At 34.3% G+C, this 20,713-nt stretch overlaps 1 protein-coding gene across 3 annotated transcripts in view; it reads left to right on the top strand.

The window, feature by feature from the left end:
- NDST4 (N-deacetylase and N-sulfotransferase 4) overlaps positions 1-20,713 on the top strand; it is a 285,858-nt gene that overhangs the window by 119,436 nt on the left and 145,709 nt on the right. For 2 of the 3 annotated variants that reach the window (XM_017008545.3, NM_022569.3), the window contains one exon: positions 16,911-16,998. The exons of the other annotated variant lie outside the window; for it this stretch is intronic. Coding sequence is in view for 1 of the 2 variants with exons in the window: in NM_022569.3 (NP_072091.1) it covers positions 16,911-16,998 (88 nt within the window). In the remaining variant the exon portion in view is untranslated. The remainder of the gene's footprint in view (positions 1-16,910; positions 16,999-20,713) is intronic. 3 annotated transcript variants of the gene reach the window in all.

Genomic DNA, 20,713 nt, shown 5'->3' with positions numbered 1-20,713 from the left:
GAACAGTTACTTTATTATTTTTTTCTTGCTAAGATCACGGAGCAGTTCTAAGTGGCTACTAAGTACTCCAGCAATACAAGTTTCATTAAATAGAAACAAGAATATGAATTTTTACAAAGCAGAATACTCTATCAGAAAGTCAGATATTCTTTTTGGAATTTATACAAATGTGTTTTAACAATATGGCATCAATGTCTGGGCCAAATGTCTGGATTCAATATGGCTTTGAAAAATGGAATAGAGGAAGCATCATACTTTTAGCAATTTCCTTAAGATTTGTCAATAGACACTGTTGTTAGAGAAGATATGGAATGTATGTGATCACTTATGAATCATGAATAAAAACAAAATTCCCAATTTTATTTTGCATCCTGAGTTGCAGTGGTACAACTGAAAACTAGAAAAGCAATGTCTTTAAGGAGCTAAATTTATGGACAAGGATGGAACTTTTTTAGACAGTTGATTAGCGGAAGATAGACTTTATGAATGCACAGGTTTCCATATTTCACACAACACCTAGATGAGCAGTTGCCTTCATCATTTGGTTTTTAAAACAGAGGCTAAGATATTTTTAAGTATTTTACATGTATTTCTATGTCAAAAGCAGATTTAAGGAAAACATATATTCTCCAACAAAAATAGGTGTAAAGGCAACAGAATATATGTCCAATTGGGAAGTGTGATACCAAACTGCAATTAATGCTGAGTGAGCCACTTTCTATTTCTGATTTCTCCACTTGGTACCCAGCACTACCTCTATAACTAGTATTACTTAAAACAGAAACAATAATTTTAAGGCTACAAGGTGAAGGAACGTTCAAGTAAGTTTTTTGCCTACTCCAATTCTTACAGATACATGAAGAAATGCACAACTAATACAGATATTGTCCAAATAGATGAATCCTAAACTTTCAAAATTAGATCCACTTTAGTAGTGCACACCCAGATGTCATTTCTATATTCCCAAAAATCCTAGGATCTTAGCATCTAAAAAAGAATAATAAGCAAAAATATTTGTAATGCCTCAGCTAAAATTATAAATAAAATATGGAGCCTTTGCAATATGAGTGTCATCTCTTTATTTGAAATTCTAAGCACTTACTATCTATAGTACACCATGAAACTAAGTTAGAAAGATATATAATTATTTAAATACTATTTCATTTCTGTGAATTTTAATTCTTTCTTTTGGAACATTGAATTCTGGAACTGAAGTGGTTATTTTTTAAGTAAAATATACAAATATCAGATAAAATATTTACAATTCAGCTGACCATCAGTGAGTAGTTGATGCCACCTATACCCAGGAGCTAGAGTTCTCATAGGAAATGTAAAGAACAGATTTGGGATCAGAGATTTAGAGTTTAGATCAGAGATTTAGAGACTGGTTAAGCAACACCCCTTTCTAAATTAATTGTAAAACTTATCTGTGAAATAAATGTGCATAGAATTATTGTAAAAGTTAAATGAAATACCATATAATGACCTTTTGAAAATTGTAAAATGCTCAATGGAGATTATGCATAGTATCCACAGGTTTGGCATCCTGTAAATACTGTATTTTCTATCTGAGTTTTGTGGCAGATGTGAAACCCATGGAAACAAAAGGTCAACTTTATTTATTGAAAAAAAAAAAAAACCTTCCTATAAGCAGACCCATATAGTTCAAACATGTTCTGTGAAGGGTCACCTGTACAACCCAGTGAATCCTAATGTAAATTCGGAACTTTAATTAAGAGTAATGTGTTAACATTCATTCATAAATTGTAATAAATGCATCACATAATGGAAACTGTCAACAACAGAGGAATCTGGGTGGTGGGGCGGGAGTGAGAAGACAGGGGACATAGAACTCTGTAATTTCTGCTTAGTTTTTCTGTAAACCTAAAACATCTCTTAAAAAAATTAAGATACCTTTAAATGTTGCAGGCAAGAGTAGCTTAAGGAGATGTAAAAACTATAAATAAATGTAATGTGTTATCCTGATGGGATCCTGGAACAGAAAAAGGAAATTAGGGAAAAACTGAAAAAAAATAAAGTATGTACTTCAGCTAATAATAATGTACCAATATTGGTTCGTTAATTGTGACAACTGTACCATACTAACATATAATGCAATAAGTATTCGGTATATGGGAACCGTACTATTTTTGAGATTTTTCTGTAATAAACAATGTATTGAAGAAAAAGATATACTGATTATATACTTTAAACCAGAAACAATACTAGAAACATAAAAAGGTATATGCCAGATCTCACACATTAAAGTTATTGAAGGCATATGTACAAATAAAAATATTTTATTAGAATTAGGTTAAATTTTAATTAAAAAGCAGTGTAGTACAAGATTCAAATAATCCATATGTAGAATGTGTATGTCATCAGAGCACCATGAAAATTTTTGGTTTGTAATATAAGCACATTATTTGTTAAGTATAAATACTCCATTTAATTTTGTGCCTAAGTCTGTTAATTTCATTTGTATTAAATTTTATATAAGTAACAAGTTGTTCATATTATCTGTTTTGATATTATTGAGATTTCGCTTTTCTCTTGTGGCTAGAGGTATGCATTGCCTGCAAATGTGAATAACAACTGATATTTCCAGGAATGTCACATTTTAGCAGCCAGGTTTTTCTGAATATACAATGTGTATTCCTATATCACATGCTGTGTCCACATACCCTTTATGTTATTAAAAAATAGTTCTTCAAAATATTTATTTGCCTTTGCTTTACTTTCAGTGGTAAAATATTTGAGAATAGTTTTTCTTGGCTCAGTTAATGTGGCATTTGTTCTCTTCACCCCATAACTCATTCGTCATGCAAAAGAGGAGTCTTGCTCCTGCAGTGGTATTGATCCACAAGGCCCTTTTGGTTAGGAGTAAAGCCTCTTTAATTACTTTGGCTGACTTTCATTTTTTACAAAGTCTTAGGCACATTAGCTATCATGTTGTATTATTCTCATTTGTCTTAAATAAGTGCACCATGGTCTCGAGAGATTGATCGACTGTCTATAGTCTTGAGAAACCAGGGCCTACACCAGTCTATACTCATTCTGCTTAGCTTAGAAATCCGAAAGAGCTATCTCTCATCTTCTCCCAGGGTTTGATAACCTCTTCTCTTTACTTCGCCAGAGGTGTTTTGACCTTTAATTAAAAGGAAAATTTGTTGTCTTCCTCTCAGAAGACAGCAAATAATGAACTCATTAAAATGAGGTTAGTGTTCAGGCCTTAGAGCAATAAGAGTTGAAGTCTCATTAGCAGCTAACAATGCAGAACACAGCACATAAATAAACCTAATATGGCACAGCGAAATGCCTCGGTGCGTTAAATTTGAGCAGAATCAAATGTTTACTGTCAATGATGTCTGGGGCATAAAGTTTTAATGCACTTAATAAAGAAAAGCAAATTGCTTCCTATTAGCCATGAAATGTTACCACAGAAATTGTCCCAAAAAGTGTATTATGTAAATGTGTGATGTGTTAGTTATTAACAAAGATATTGTAGAAATATATCTGTCTTGCTTGATACATGCAACAATTAGGAAGAATAAAGATCACTCAAAAATTTCTAAACGTAATTCTAGTGATTAATGTAAAATAATGTGGGATGTAAGATTTTTTTAAGTGACTTTATCTCACTGCTGGCCCAAGATAAGAGATATTTGCAATGTCAAACTAAAGAATCAGTTAATAAAACATCCTTGTAGTTTATAAAATATCTTTTGGTCAAGGGATTCCTTAAGAGCTTATTTAAAAGAGCTACTATACTTCATTTATACAATACAAAGAATGTTGTATCCATAAATTTGAATACTTTGTGAATTTTTATAATATTAAATGAGCTATAGTTAGTAAAATAATAATTAGGAGTTTTATTTTAATAATTCAGTGAATGGAATAAAAGTGCTAGTAATAATGTGTTTTTTATTCTTCATTGTTTTAGATTCCTTATGTAAAATTAGAAATTTGTTTCAATTTGATATTTCCTCCACAATGAACCTGTATCTACTATGCTTCTTAAATTTTAAAAGAATTAGGATAGTTATTTTGCTTGATTACTCATTCTATCATCTTTTCTTCAAAATATTGGAACAAAATTGCTTCTATTCCCCACTTCTTGAGCTCTCATGAAAACGCAGACATAAAAAAAAATGGAAGTGTCAAAAATGTCATAGATTAAGAACACCTGATTTATGCCGATGAAGTCAACTCACTAAAGGCTAGACAGGGATTTTGAAGAGACACTTCTCTACTGAAGAATAAAGGTAGCTGGTACTTTGCAAACAGTGTTCATCTGATACATAAAGCCTGGGAACAAATCAGAAGTCATCATATGCTACATTCAATTCTTTCACAACCTGCATTTAATGTATCATTTGATATTAAGAGTTCTAGAAACTTTATCTTCAAACTACGTCCCAAATCTGACCACTTTCTTCCTGCTTTACTACAAACTCCAGGACCCTCATTTCTCAATTGGCTAACCTGTTTTTCTCCTCTACATGTTTTCCTATTTCATTCTTCTCCAGCTCTGACCCAGGCAATTCTTCATACAGTGGCCAAATATTTAAGGTATAAATCATGAATATTATGTATCTGCTCAAAACTCTCCAATGGCTTCCCACAGGTTCAACTGCAATGTATTAGTAATTTCTTTGTTTATTGTTTGTGTCACTGAAATACAAACTCCTAACCAAAGGACTGTTTGTTTCATTCAAAACTGAATCTCCAGTCCCTACAACAGCTGGACTATATTAGCTGCTTAAATATTTCTTGAATAGGTAAGCATGGCAACATAGTTCACTTAAAGTTAAATTACACCAAAATGTCTTTATTAAAGAAATAATGTCAAAGGTAGATAATGTCAGTCACAGAACTCCAAAGGATACCATTCATACAGAAAATAATTATACTGTTTCTGTCTCTTGTTGGGAAATGAGAGCTGTACTGGAAAATGTTACCATTCATGCATTTTTGGTATTGCTGTTCTCTTTCATGAGTGTCTCACTAGCTTCCCTTCATCTACAGAAAATCACTTGGTAGACTAGCAGGTGTTTATTAGATTATGTCACCTACTTTGTTATAAATGTGCATCATAATTAGACTTTAAATAGGGCTGAGTCAAGGAGGTGACAACAAGATATCACAGGAGTTTTTGTTTTTGAAACTCTTAAGTTTTTGTCAGAGGGAGAGACTTTCCACAAGAAAAAGATTTATCTGCCAAGTAAAGAAAAATCCATCTTAAAATATTTTGCTATACTATGGATTTTAGTATATATGTTTTTCTTCTAGTTTCTATAACCAATTATGGTCCTATATGAATAATAATGGTTTTCATATTTATAACAAAATCTAAAATTAGTTATATTTATCCTACTGGCGGTGCACTGAGAAAATTCTACTACATTTGAGCTTAAAAAATAAATAAGCCTTAATGCCTCAAATGTATATAAACTGACTCATAATTTGATATTCAGCCTTTGAAAGTGGTTTTGGGGGTACACATTTAAAGACGTATGTAGGCCGGGCATGGTGGCTCACACCTGTAATCCCAGCACTTTGGGAGGCCAAGGTGGGTGGATCACAAGGTCAGGAGATTGAGACCATCCTGGCTAACACAGTGAAACCCCATCTCTACTAAAAATACAAAAAATTAGCCAGGCGTGGTGGCGGGCGCCTGTAGTCCCAGCTACTTGGGAGGCTGAGGCAGGAGGATGGCATGAACCCGGGAGGTGGAGCTTGAAGTGAGCCAAGATTGCGCCACTGCACTCCAGCCTGGGCTACAGATCGAGACTCTGTCTCAAAAAAAAAAAAAAAAAAAAAAAAAAAGATATGTGTATCTGTGTGCTTACAAAATACTCAACCACGTATCATATGAAAATTTTCAAAAAGTTTATAAAATTGATCATGAAAATTTGAATTAATCCACATTTCATTAACAACTTAAAAGTTGTTTTCATTAACTTAATAGTTGTTTTTCATGATTTCTCAGCAAGAATAAGATGCTTTAAGAAATATACTATAATATTTATCAAAATTATAATTGTTAATTCTAAATATATTTTCAGAATTCCATAATATGAAGGAATTTATCTTTATTTGAAGCTCCTTAACAATAGCAAATCCTGGAATAATGGAAAAACACTCCTTTGTACAGATCACTTGCAGAGAGTTAATGTGATTATTTGACTGCATGCATATTCAGAATCACATTTCATGTAAAATCACAGCTATTACATTTTTCATTTGCATTGCATAATAAGTAGGAAACTATATTCAATAGAGGAGATCATGACCCCAAAAGACACCTCACTTTCCCATGATCAGACATTCACTTAATGTTTTTTCCTAAATAAGCAAACCATAAACTTAAGCAAGTGGAGGTGGGTGTTTCTGGCTGATTATTTGAGGTAAAAGATAAGATACATTAAGTGCAAGATTTTTCCTATCAAAGGACTTCAGTATGTTAATGTGGGTTGAGACCTTCTCTAGTGGTGTATGATACAGTGTGTTTCCTAAACATTTTGAAGATACAATTATTTTTTCACAGACATTTAATTTTATAGACCCAAATTTATAGTGACCCATGGATCATAGTTTGGTTTACCACTTGTCTGTGGTAAAGATTTCTGTTTCACTACTTATCTCTTCCTACACAGTGAAATTTTCTATAATCACTTGAAGAAGAAGGTAGCTCAAACATCCACATTCTGCAGATCTTAAGCCATTTCTGACAGTGGTAACCAAATCTGTACCTGCTCTGGAGCTTCCACATGCAATGCAAAGTATCTCCATCAAGCTGGCCTTCCAACACAAAAGCCAGGATTTTGCAGAGGGATTCAAGTTACATTTTAAAGTTGCAACAAATGCAAAGAGAACTTGGACCCAGTTCTCAGATCCTTTCTGAGAATTCTTGGGGATATTTTGTGTTATAAACTCCTTGTCTCCCACTCTGACCCAAAAAAGATTTTGACTTGATTATTTTGTTTATGTCGTATATGTATATGTATGTTATTCTTGGCTATTTGATTTCATATTATTCCTAAAGCCATTTTTAAGTCATTGAGGTTAAAATGACTAAAAGATTCATTCCGCTATTTTCAAAGAAATCCTAACTAGCTTGAGTTCTACGTCACTATTACTCTATGACATATTTAAATACTTTGCCTTTAGGAAATATGAGTTATTTTTGTGATTATCTTATAAGAAGCTTTTAAGGAAATAATTATGCCACACAAACAATGACCTCTGAAGTTAAAATATATATTTATCTTTTTACAAGACAAAAAAATTTTATAAGTTATAATGGAGACTTGAGAGCAAGAGCTTATAGGAATAGTATATTAAAATATATATATATATATATATATATATATATATATATATATGTATAATTGGATACCAGGCTTAGAGGAACTAAATTATAAACAAAAATGCCAGTGCCCTAACTGATACCATTTGAAGGGTCATAATGAGATCACATTTTATTCAAATATACTAACTTGATTCAAAATTTCAATCAATTCAGTAGAGCATGGGAAACAGAAACCAGAGGAAGAGAGTGCAGGACGCAGACATAGTTTGAGATGATCTTTATGAACTGAAATAAGATACAATTGAAAGAGAGATTAGGACTTATAAGAACTGAACAGTATTTCAGCATTCTTAAGGAAATTTTCTGATCTCAGGGAGAGAACCAGAATGCCAATCAGAAAACAGAAGCAGAAGCTCGTCTTACACACTTTCAGAGTGGACTAAAATCAGTGGCTTATAGTTCTGTGGAAAGGAGATGACCAGGACACCCTCCAGTAACAACGTTTAGGGCACGAGACACATCCACTCACATCTACTAGGAAAGGAGTCAAAGACACGTGGAGTGTTTGGCTGATGCAATGAAATAAAATTTACAACACAATGAACACACTGCAGTTTAATGATTTATATAACCTTCATTGTGTTCTTTGATAATCAGGCAGAAAATGCAAACTCTTCACATATGTGACATGATTTAATATTATTTTATAAGGTCAAACCAATTTTTAATTTTTTTCTTCTCTTTGCCAGTATGTTTAATCAGTATCAACGTTTAAACTTCCAGTATTCAAAAAATACTCCTAATGCAATGAAACCATTATCCTTACCGGTATATATACATTTTGTGTGCAGTTAGTTCCTGAAACTTACCCTCCAATCCTGTGTAACAAAGTTTTGAAATTAACGACGCTAAGTTCTTTCCTGACCCTAAGATCTGTTCTCACTGGCCCCATTGTTTGGAGCAGACTCCCCAGGTCCCATTTTAGGCATAACTGGTCTGTTATTTTCCATGCCTCAACAAAATGGCCTGCCACTTTTCCAGGGTGGACTTTATTGATCTCATTGTCTACCTTGTTGAAACGTAGATACTGATACTTTGTGTTTCTTTCAATAATAGCATGGTACTAAAATTAACTTTGCAACACTAGTAACAATTTGTAATTAAAAAATTATTTGATTGATTTGTTATGTGTATCCTCTGTGTGTCTAAAAAGAATGTAGGTTCCATCAAAAACCAGAAAACTTACCAGTTTTGTTTATCAGGTACTTTCTAACTCCATACCTAGCATAATTTATGTAGCCTCTCCGTGCATTATTTTCTCCACTTGTAAGACAGGATTAATAAAAAGGTCACTGGAAGATTTAAATAAATAATTAGAGTGTTGCTCATCACCTAACACATAGTAAAAGCTTGATAATATTAGATATTATTTTTGCCATTCTCCACTCTATCCTGAGTACCTAAAACATACAGTCCAATTAATATTGTTTGAATGAATGAATGAAGAGTGGCAAAAGGAGGGAAGAGTGCCCAAAGAGAGTGAGCTTTTAGATTCCTGTCTTCCTGGAGACAGACCAAAAAAGAAAAATGGCAACGAAATACTTAACTGGTGGGTGAAAAGAGGAAAGGAAAAATTGCTCTGAAATGTCAAGGTGTTCTTTGGCTCACTAGGTTTTTTTTCAGATTGAGTGTGATTTCAGAAGTAGGATCCCTACAGTTCAAACTTTCTCCCCATAAATACCCTTGTACTTGTTCAGTATTGTCATCAGAAGCATTCACTCATTTTTAATTAATTAACTTATCCATTTCACAATCTGAGCTAAACCATTTAACATGATATTACGTAGAAAACTTGGTATAAGTTTTTTGTTAATGTATACATTATAGCAAATTCCTCCTTGAGTAGCAGTAACAGTTTATCAGAAAGAAATGAGATCAAGATGAGTAAGAAGAAAGGTAGAGCTATAAAATGCAAATTTTAAAAGCTTCATATTTTCATCCTGGGTCAGCCCTATTCATCTTCAATTGTAAATTTACAAATAGTATCGAAGCAAAAGTTTATGGAATCCCAACTCCATTTTACTGAGGTAGGCACACAAACTTGCTATATTGGAATATAAGGTTACTAAGGTTAGACTGAGTTTTAAGGCAGGCATGGTCAATTTTGGTCTTCTTCTTGTGTTATCTGGGTGGACTATTTAATCTTTCCATAAAGCAATATTTTTTACCTGGAAAATATAAATATAAGTTATCTCTTCTGATTCCCATATCATAATCTACTTAGGATAAATAAGACACCTTTTTATTGAGCTATTAAGTATGATAAAAGACCATATAAAACAAACACTATCACTCTGAGGTAGCTGTTTTGAAATTTTGAAAATATAAGACTGTATTAGGCCTGGCGCCGTTGCTCATGCCTGTAATCCCAGCACTTTGGGATGGGTGGATCACAAGGTCAGGAGTTCGAGATCAGCCTGGCCAATATGGTGAAAGCCCATCTCTACTAAAAATACAAAAATTATCCTGGCATGGTGGTGGGTGCCTGTAGTCCCATCTACTCAGGAGGCTGAGGCAGGAGAATCAGTTGAACTTGGGAGGTGGAGGTTGCAGTGACCTGAGGTCATGCCACTGTACTCCAGCCTGGGTGACTCCATCAGCCAGAGTGAGACTCCATCTCAATAAATAAATAAATAAATAAATAAATAAATAAATAAATAAATAGTATTAGTTTGTTCACACTGCTATAAAGACATATCCAAGACTCAATAATGTAGAAAGAAAGAAGTTTAATTCACTCACAGTTCTACATGGCTGGGAAGACCTCATGAAACTTAAAATCATGGTGGAAAGCAAAGGGGAAGCAAGGCACATCTTACTTGGCAGGAGGAGGAAGAAATAAAGAGTGCAAGGGGAAAGTGCCACACACTTTTAAACAACCAGATCTTGTGAGAACTCTGTCACAAGACTGCACTTGGGGGATAGTGCGAAACCATTAGAAACCACCCTCATGATCCAATCTCCTTCAACCATGCCCCACATTCCACATGTGGGGATTACAATTTGACATGAGATTTGGGTGGGGACACAGAGCCCAACCATATCATTCTGCCCCTGGCCCCTCCCAAATCTCATATCCTTCTCACATTTCAAAATACAGTCATGCCTTTCCAACAGTCTCCCTCAGTCTTAACTCATTCCAGCATTAACCCAAAAGTCTAAGTCTAAATTCTCATCTGAGACAAAGTAAGTTCCTTCTGCCTATGAGGCTGTAAAATCAAAAACAAGCTAGTTACTTCCAAGATACAATGCAGGTAAAGGCATTTGGTAAATGCTCCCATTCCAAATAGAAGAATTTGGCCAAAAAAAAGGGGCTACAGGCCCTGTGCAAGTCTGAAACCCAGCAGGGCAGTCATTAAATCTAAAAACTCCAAAATAATCTTCTTTGAGTTCAGGTCTCACATCCAGGACACGCTGATTCAAGGGGTGGACTCCCAAGGCCCTGGGCAACTCTGCCCTGTGGTTTTGAAGGGTACAGCCCCCATGGCTGCTTTCACAGGCTGGCATTGAGAGTTTGCACTTTCCAGGCACACAGTGGAAGCTGGTCAGTGAATTTACCATTCTGTGGTCTGGCGGATGGTCTCCCTCTTCTCACAGCTCCACTAGGCAGTGCCCCAGTGGGGATTTGGAAAGGGTGTTCCAACCCCACATTTCCCCTCTGCACTGCCCTGGTAGAAATTCTCCATGAGGGCTCTGCTCCTGCAGCAGATTTTGCCTGAATATCCAGGAATTTCAATACATCCTCTGAAATCCAGGTGAAGGTTCCCAAATCTCAACTCTTACCTCCTTCCCACCTGCAGGCCCAACACCACATGGAAGCCACCAAGGCTTGGAGCTTGCACCCTCTGAAGCCACAACGTGAGCTGTACCTTGACCCGTTTTAGCCATGGCTGGAGCTGGAGTGGCTGGGATGCAGGGCACCATATCCCTAGGCTGCACAGAGAAGCTGGGCCATGAATTTGACCCAAGAAACCATTTTTCTCTCTCAGGCCTCTGGGCCTGTGATGGGAGGGGCTGCTGTGAAGGTCTCTGAAATGCTCTGGAGACACTTTCCCCATTGTCTTGGTGATTAACATTTGGCTCCTCTTGACTTATGCAAGTGTCTGCAGCTGGCTTGGGCTTGAATTCCTCCCCAGAAAATGGATTTTTCTTTTCTACCATATGGTCAGGCTGCAATTTTTTCCAACTTTTATGTTCTGCTTCACTTTTAAATATAAGTTCCCATTTCAGACCATCTCTTTCTTTATGCAAATGAGTTAGGCTTTTAGGAAGGGCCAGGCCATATCTTCAACACTTTGCTTCTTAGAAATTTGTTCCTCCAGACGCCCTTGATCATCTCTCTCAAGTTCAAAGTTTCAAAGATTTTTAGAGCAGGGACAAAATTCCTCTAGTCTCTTTGCTAAAATATAGCAAGAATGACCTTTGCTCTAGTTTCCAATAAGTTCCCCATCTCCATCTGAGACCACCTCAGCCTGGGCTTCATTGTCCATATCACTATCAGCATTTTGGTCACAACCATTCAACAAGTCTCTAGGAAGTTCCAACCTTTCCCACATCTTCCTGTCTTCTTCTGAACCCTTCAAACTGTTCCAACTTCTGCCCATTACCCAGTTCCAAAGTTGCTTCCACATTTTCAGGTGTCATTATAGCAGTGCCCCACTCCCAATACCAATTTTCTGTATTAGTTCATTCTTACACTGCTGTAAACACATACCTGAGACTGGATCATTTATAAAGAAAGTAAGTTTAATTGACTCACAGGAAGAGAGAGAGTGTGTTTGGGGGGAAGTGCCACACACTTTGAAACAACCAGATCTCGTGAGAACTCTGTCATGAGACAGCACTAGGGAGATGGTGCTAAACCTTTAGAAACCACCCTCAGAATCCAATCACCTCCCACCAAGCCCCACCTTCAACATGTGGGGATTACAATTTGATGTGAGATTTGGGTTGGGACACAGAGCCAAACCATATCAAAGACTATATCAAAATGTGAATATGCACATGACTTATTAGGTACATTTAGGGAAAGGGTTAGCCTGAGAGTAACAACCTAATATCCAAATGATTTAAGAAATATGCATAACACCTTGAAATTAATATAAATAGTATACTAACTCAGTATTATTAGGACACTAATGTTCTAATGGTGATGATCTCCAGGTTGAAGCTATAAAAATCATTGTTAAAAACAGATTTTTGTTTTCATTTTATAGTCTCCAATTCAGAATCCCCAGAGGATAAGCCTGGGAGTAGATACTTTACAAGCATGCTGGTGATTCATTTCATGTGGGCAACTTGAAAATAATTGCTCGACGTTTATTAGAACCAGCTGGAGTATATGATGAAGTGCACATTTGTAGGCATTATGACAGACAAAAATCAGTATTTCCTGAAGTGGGCCCCAGAATTGACAATTTTAGCAATTTTCTCTAGAAAATTGTACACATAATAAAGTTTGAATACCATTACTGCTTTATCAAACAGTATGTAGCTATATAGGGGCAAAGTTGGACTCTCATTCTTTTTCCTGCTTTCTTCCTTCCTTCCTTCCTTCCTTCCTTCCTTCCTTCCTTCCTTCCTTCCTTCCATCCTTTCTTCTTCTCTTTCTTTCGCTTTGTCAGATTGGCATGAACATGGCTCATTGTACTCTCAAACTCCTGGGCTAAAGTGATCCTCTCGCTCCCACCCTGGAAGTAGTTGAGACTACAGGTATATTACACACCCCACCATGCCAGGCTAATTTTTGTATTTTTTTGTAGAGAAGGGGTTGCACCATGTTGCCCAGGCTGGCTTTGACTCTTAAGCTCAAGCAATCCTCCCAGCTCAGCTTCCCAAAGTGCTAGTAATATAGGCGTGAGCCACCACACCCAGCCTAGACTTCCTTTCTGAAATACTAAGAAATTTATTAGGAGACTATTGAATTAATGGAAGTTATGTTTATTAAAATAATAAATTATTGATTTTTATAAATAAGTTACATATTTATTCTCTTTAATATACAATCAACTTAGTGAGTTCTTCATAAGCAGTAAAAGAAAAAATTTCAAAACCATTTATATTGTTTGTTATGTCATGCAGACTATTAAATAAATAATGTATATTGTCAAAGCTCTAAACGCATTTTATTATTTTTATTTTATTTATTTCTTTATTTATTTTTTGAGATGGAGTTTCACTCTTGTCGCCCAGGCTGGAGTGCCATTGCGCAATCTCAGCTCACTGCAACCTCCACCTCCCAGGTTTAAGTGATTCTCCTGACTCAGCCTCCCGAGCAGCTGGGATTACAGGCATGCACTACCACGCCCATCTAATTTTTGTATTATTAGTAGAGAAGGGGTTTCACCATGTGGGCCAGGCTGGTCTTGAACTTCTGACCTCAAAAGATCCACCTGCCTCGGCGTCCCAAAGTGCTGGGATTACAGGCATGAGCCATCATGCCCAGCCACATTTTATTACACATATTCAAAACTAAAGTTTCCGCACGAAATATTCAGGTAGAAAAAAGTGTATTTCCTGAGCTTTACTATTTTATTTGTATCCCAAATTGAGAAACTTTATTTCTAGCTCATTAACAAGCTTTTCCAAAATAAGGGGTTTTAAAAATTGAAGGGTTTTAAAAGAATAAGTTAAATTTGTACTTAATTTATTCTTAAATTTATATCCATATTATTTTTGCCCTAATATTTCTTCTGACATTTTACATTATTCCTATATTGGAATTCTTTCATCTTTCTACTTTTCTTCTGAATTTGTATGGTTTAGCACTTTTCTCTTTTAAATTTATTTCTGATTTTTTTTAGTTTGAATCATTTTGTGTATATTCATTGTTATTTTTTTCTCCCTTCCTTTGTAACTGAATGGCATGAAAACTTTTCTGAAGTTTGAAAACTAAAGAACATTTACTTGTACTAAACAAGGAAGCCTTGAAAACTTTTTAAGATTTGCTTTTTTTTCATTCGTTTTGTTTTTACTTATAGAATTTGTCATTTTTACTCCCTCATTAATCCAGACTACATGTTAGTAGGCCATGACTAGATAGCTCTTTTTTTCAACAATGAAAAGGTCTGTTAAGTTCTTCACATAGCTAACTAGCCCCCCATCTGCCTTTGCCTCTCTGAACTTGCTTTAGAGATCTATGACACAAGGCTATAAAACATCTGTGTTATAAAACATCCTGGTGAAATGCTAGATCCTATCTATATTGTTCTGATATCATCTTGTGGTATGGCCCATGAACTATGTTTATCATATTACCATTGGAAAAATGTTACTGACAAAAATTAAAAATTAAAAATAAATGAAACTAATCCAATTATTGCTGTGTATTAGTATGTACTTTTATCATACTTTGGATACATCAAACCTTACTCATTTTCATGTATCTCATGTTACTAAATGCAAAAAAAAACCAGTAACATGAGATACATGAAAATGAATAAGGTTTGATGGAGCTTCAGGTGCATAGACTAAAGGAAAACATGAGATAGAGCATGGATGCAATAAAGTCAAAAATAATGCAAGTTTTAAGAAAATAATTTAGGAATCTACTTTGGTGTACCAGAGGAGGCTTTATACAAAAAGTTGACATTTGGGCGGAGATATAAAGAATTGGTAGGATTTGGGAAATGGCATTGGGAGCTGGGGAGGCTTTCTAGGCAAAGAGAATAAAGAGAGAAATAGCACTGGGAAATGTAGGAGGTGGGAGATAGTTAAGTTTAACCAGAGTACATGGTGATTTGCAGGAAATAGCAATGGGTGTTGGAGGCACCAAGGATACCTAACTGATGGAGAGAGAATGATAGACTCAGTTATCAGTAATAGTATTTATTGAGCTCATGCTACTTGCCAGACACTTAGCTAAACAATTTGCATGCCTTACCCAATGTAATTCTCCTAATAAGAGTATAAAATAAATTTTCAGAAGTACCCCATTTCACAGATAAATAAATGCAGAATAATGAATGACTTCAAGAACTTAGAGGAAGAAAGATAAGTGGATGAAATTGGAGTGGTGAGGGGAATAGCAGACGGGAGAAATTTTTTTAAAAATCAAGATAAGGAGACTAAGAAATTGTGCATGGAATACAGCCAAAAAAAAAGCCAGAAAAGGGAACTCACTAAGGGAAATAATGCATAATATTCTTATTTTAAGGCTGTATTCCAGAGCATTTACCAATATGTTCAACTAGTTCAATGCACTTTTTATCTCAACTGTTTTTAATATTTAGTTTAATCTCTATGAGAAATGTATTTTTAATATTTTGTAGAACTCAGTTAAGCTAGTGGTTCTATTTCTGCCTTTGTCTACTTAGTTGATAATATTTAATAATGTTGAACATGATAACACCCAGTCTAATTGTGGTCTTGGATAACCATTGACTATATATTTTATCAACATTTTAGTTACTTAGTCATTTTTTTAATTAAACTAATGTACAGGAGACTCCTTTCATTGTAAAGGAATAAACAGTTAGGTTCACAAGTCTTTGAAACAAATGCTTAGCCACCATGACTAATGGAAAAAATTGTTTAACCTCTGACTCCTTAGTCTCCATAACAGATGGATAGGAGTAATCAAAAATCAGTCTTATTATTAATATCTCTTGTTTGAAATTAGCTTCTCATTTTAATCAGAACAAAGTATGTCCTCTTTAAAAATCCATTAAAAATAGAAAAAGCATTCTGAATCAATATGCATACCAGTAAGCAAACTAAAAAGCCCAAGGATATAAGGGTTCTGAATTATGCTACAAATTTTGACATAGGAATAATGGCGGTGAAAGGATTGGCAACAAATTTACATAACTAATTCTGTGTCATTATTAGCAATGTGTTATTATCCTGTCCACAAACCAGACTTTCACATAGTATAATTCCAAATCTAGAAACTAGGGAAATGTTTGTCACATTTAGAAAATTTCTGTTATGGAATTAGTAACAAAAAGGGGTATCTATTTTTACATGTTCTTCCCTTTTTCATAACTAGGTTTGCAAGCAATGTCCTATAAAATACACATTGCTCTGTAGTTTGTAAGGTAAAAACCCAAGCTTTCAATTTAATAATTATGCCTTTAAAAATGATGAGGGAGGTGGCCCAGTTAAATAAAATATTAAATTGCAGTTCAAACAAAAGTTCTCCTCCTATTGCTTACCATGAAAACAGGACTTGTCTGCATTCAACAATTCTGAAAAATTTTCACCACATAAAGGAAGTATAATAATCCAAAGTTCAAGAAATGTCTCACACAGAAATGAAAAATGATTTCAGTGCTGTGGAGTTGGACAATTGCCTCTCAGCAATGCAAAATGTGCTTAGGACTTAACTGTTTCATAATATGGTGACCTTCAATAAAAATAATGACTATAATAATTATAATACCTGAAATACGAATACTACATAACAGTACCCATCAAAAACAAGAAAGCTCATATCATTTTGTTTTACTCATGCATACACATTTGCAAAAGAGGCATCCCAAAACTTCATATTTATTTTTCTAAAATCATGTTAATTTCTTATTTATTTCAGGCATTACTAGAGACTCAAAATTTACTGCGCACTCAGGTTGCAAATTTTACCTTCAACCTTGGATTTTCAGGGAAGTTTTACCACACAGGTAAGAAGGAGCTTTGTGTTCTCAGGCAGCTACATATAAATAGGAAATAAATTTTGAATGATTCATAAGTGGTAGAGATAGATTCTCCAGATTGATTATGGGAAAAACTTGGGCACATTATTTGAGTAGCCAAATCCAAAATCAATGAGCATATTTACCTTGGCAAATACTGTTTAAAATCAAGGGCAAAAGAGAAAGAGAATTGACTTTTTCAACTCATTTTTTAAAAAATAGAAAGCATAACCACTGTACTGAGTATGACTGTGCATCTTGTTTCTCAGCACAGTATGGGTAGAAGGCATAGTAATAGTGATAATGAGAATACTACTAATAATAACTGACAGAATTTTAAAATTATCAAATAGTTGATGAGATAGATACTTTTGTACATATTATTTTCCTTTGGAAAACATCTGATGATAGAGAGAAACTTTATGGTCTCAATGAAATGTAATAGACTCTAAACTTGTTAGTTTACCTTCACTTGCAGGATTTTTTCCCTAAAACAATATTACCACTAATTTGGCCTAACATAGACTAAAACCATCACAATTAGACTTGTATTTCTTTCCATCTCTATCCAGCCACAATTGTACTTATGTTCAGTCTCACCCTCTAAATAAATTCTTAAAATGTGATTGCTATTCATGTGCTGTGTTCTGATATTCCTTACTTCTTTACTTACCCTCACCTCCAAAATGCTGACTTTTTATTTTCTGAATATTAGCATTGAAATATCTGGTACCATGTTAGAGAAAGCTATGCTAATAAAATTGATTGTCTTTGACAAAAAGAGTACTAAACTATGTGTTGGGGCCTGTGTTAGGGGAATACCTATAATCTGCTTCTATTTGTGCATCCATGCTGTGAACTGATTGCTTTGTTTAGAAGTTTGCACTGTTGTTGTTTCACAGCACCTTAGTGAAAACATTTCACAGTATTTATTCTGTATCCATGTATGCAATTTATTAACTTATTAAAATATTCTATTCAAAGGTAGTCTTTAGTTTTCATAAATACCTTGTTTACTAAATGAGGCTTTTTAATGTAAAAGCTCAATATGGTTTGTTAGAATATTGAAATAACAATGTCTTATTGGCTTTTCCTTGATGCTTTTTTTTCTCCTGCTTTGAAACATGTAAACCTGCTTAAAGTAATAGAAGGAAAATTAGTATGTATACGAGTTGATAAATCAAATGATTTCATATTTTAAAAGGATGTTTTGCAGAAAGAGATTTGGGTCAGCATATCTGCACAGGCAAAGCAATTTCAGCTTGCAATTTTGAAAATAGACATGGTTTTGTAAATCTTTTCAAAACTCCCTCAAGAAATGATTTCAGACCAAAGAAGCTCTGACTATGAAGTTATAAAGCAGATAGCTTTAAAGGCTATATCTACTCATGCAGGGGGAAAAATTATGGGATTATTTGGAGTTCACATACAAACAATACTATTTTGTCTTAAATAGCTGTAGATTGTAAGGAAAGTCATTCTTTTGGCTGAAGTATATCTGGATAACTGCCTCAGTTTTTATTTACTTTTCATACTCAGACCTATTAAATGTGCCTGACATTTGCAAAGTTAATGTTGTAGAGGATACACCACTTCCCATTTCTTCTTTAAAACACTGAACATGCATAGAGTACACAACCACTGGGAAATGAGCAGCACTCCAGTCAGTATCACAGAAATAGTTATTGAAGAAGGACAGTAAAAAAGAAAGATGTATTTTAATTATATCTTTTAAGCAGGCATTATTGACTCTTTGTGTTGAAACCAGTATAACAAAAACAATAGAATAGTTTGTGTTGTAATACTGTGGTGATAGTACACTTTAGAGAATAAGCAATATTTATAAATCTATAAATTTTAGAAGTTTAATTTCTTTCACATAAATATGTCATTTTTATTTAATGGATATATTTACTTCATTTGTAGGATCATTGAAATGCACCTATAACATATTTCAAGAGTGCCATCATAATTATATGAATACTTATTAATGCACTCAGGGATATCAAAGTTTCTTCTGGAGCTGAGTTACACAACGTGATACCCTTTCAGATATCAGAAAGACGTGCCTTACCCCTATCTTGTCACATTTCTATACGGAGATTTCACATTTTAGAAAAAACAATTGCAAATCAAGGAGGTGCATTCCTTACATGTGCACTTGGCTGTGATGTGTAACCATGAGGAGATGGCCTTGTCGGACTGACTGTCTCTGTTCTCTCCCAGAATGATCTGATTTCCCAGTGCGTGAGGATGCTGATGGATGAGCCTCATTGTTTTGAAGACATTTAATCACATAGGCCCAGTGTAATAATGATTGATTCTGCATTTCTTAGGCTACTTCACTTATGTGTATTTCTCATGTATTCTTTCCTGTTCAGTTTCTCTGTCCTTCACATGCTAAAAACAATCTCACCTCAAAAGGGCATACCACTAAGCTTTTCCTAAAGTCATTCACCCACAGGTGCCAAACTGAAAGAGGAAGGACGTAGTGCAGGTTAAATGGGAAAAAAATAAAAGCACGGAGTTTAGAATGAAATACCTTAGTCTGGAAATATTTAGAGCTTGAATGGAATTGCATAACAAAAGCTTAATTGAGAAATGGAGACATTATAGTATTCAGATGCCTTCTTTGAAAGAGGAGCTACCCACTGTATTTTGCCAGGGACATGATTTCTGGTGACAATCATTGCTGTTCCTTGGAATTAAATGTGACCCAATCAATAATTAATTCATGAATAATGTTTGCAAATTGAATTAACAATTAACATTGGTCTTTTCCATGAGAGATTATTTTATGAAAAATAGCATTTTCTATAAAATCATTAACTTTCAAGCATGACAGTAAGTAGAGTGTTACATTCTTACCCCTTCTGTGATTTTTTGTTTTTTGCATATGTTGCTTTTCTGTGTGGAGAATTAGTTAAAAGACCTGATATTGGTAACAAACTTGATGTTCAAATCCAGATTCTGACATTTTGCCAGCATTTGAACACAGTTTACTTAAATTTTCTGTGCCTCAGTTTATATATCTACCAAATGGGGATAATAATATCTCTTTTATTAGGAGCAATGCTTAGCATGTTACAAGTGCTATGTAAATGTTTATTATTAATTTTAAAATTATTTTCATATAAGATTCAAATATTATCAAAAAGTAAATAGTAGACAATTCATATGGCACTATTTTCTAATTTTGGAACCATAGGTAGCTTTTAATCAATGTTTATCATTCCACAGTTCTTTATATTTAGTATAATATTAAAAAGTAGTTTATTCTATCCCCACATATATGGAACCATGCCAGGTTCGATGTACAAGGAAAATTAGAAAATATCTCAACATTTAGAAATTATATTTTATACAAATTACACAAATATAAGGTAGAAATTTTTACAAAAGAGAAAATAAATACACTGAAATTATATATATCTTAATTTAATAACTGTACTTTTAAGGAGATTAACCTGTAGGGCAAAATTATTCTTATTTTGGCAGACTTAAAGAAATTTCAGAAGCATACTTTTATCTCACAACACAGATTCTCCAAAAGTGATAGTAAAGAAACAAACTTCATGTATTTTACTTCTGAATTAAAACATTTTTTATTCATTGGTAATTAGGAAATGTAAAAAAAAAATTTTAATAAGTGCAAAATGTATTTTTTTCATTAATAATTATCTAGACCAGGATCTAGATCAGA

The sequence above is a fragment of the Homo sapiens genome, chromosome 4 (genome assembly GCF_000001405.40).
Source record: "Homo sapiens chromosome 4, GRCh38.p14 Primary Assembly".
Classification (NCBI taxonomy): domain Eukaryota; kingdom Metazoa; phylum Chordata; class Mammalia; order Primates; family Hominidae; genus Homo; species Homo sapiens.
Note: the sequence above shows the minus strand (reverse complement) of the source record. Positions and strands in the feature narration are given on the sequence as shown.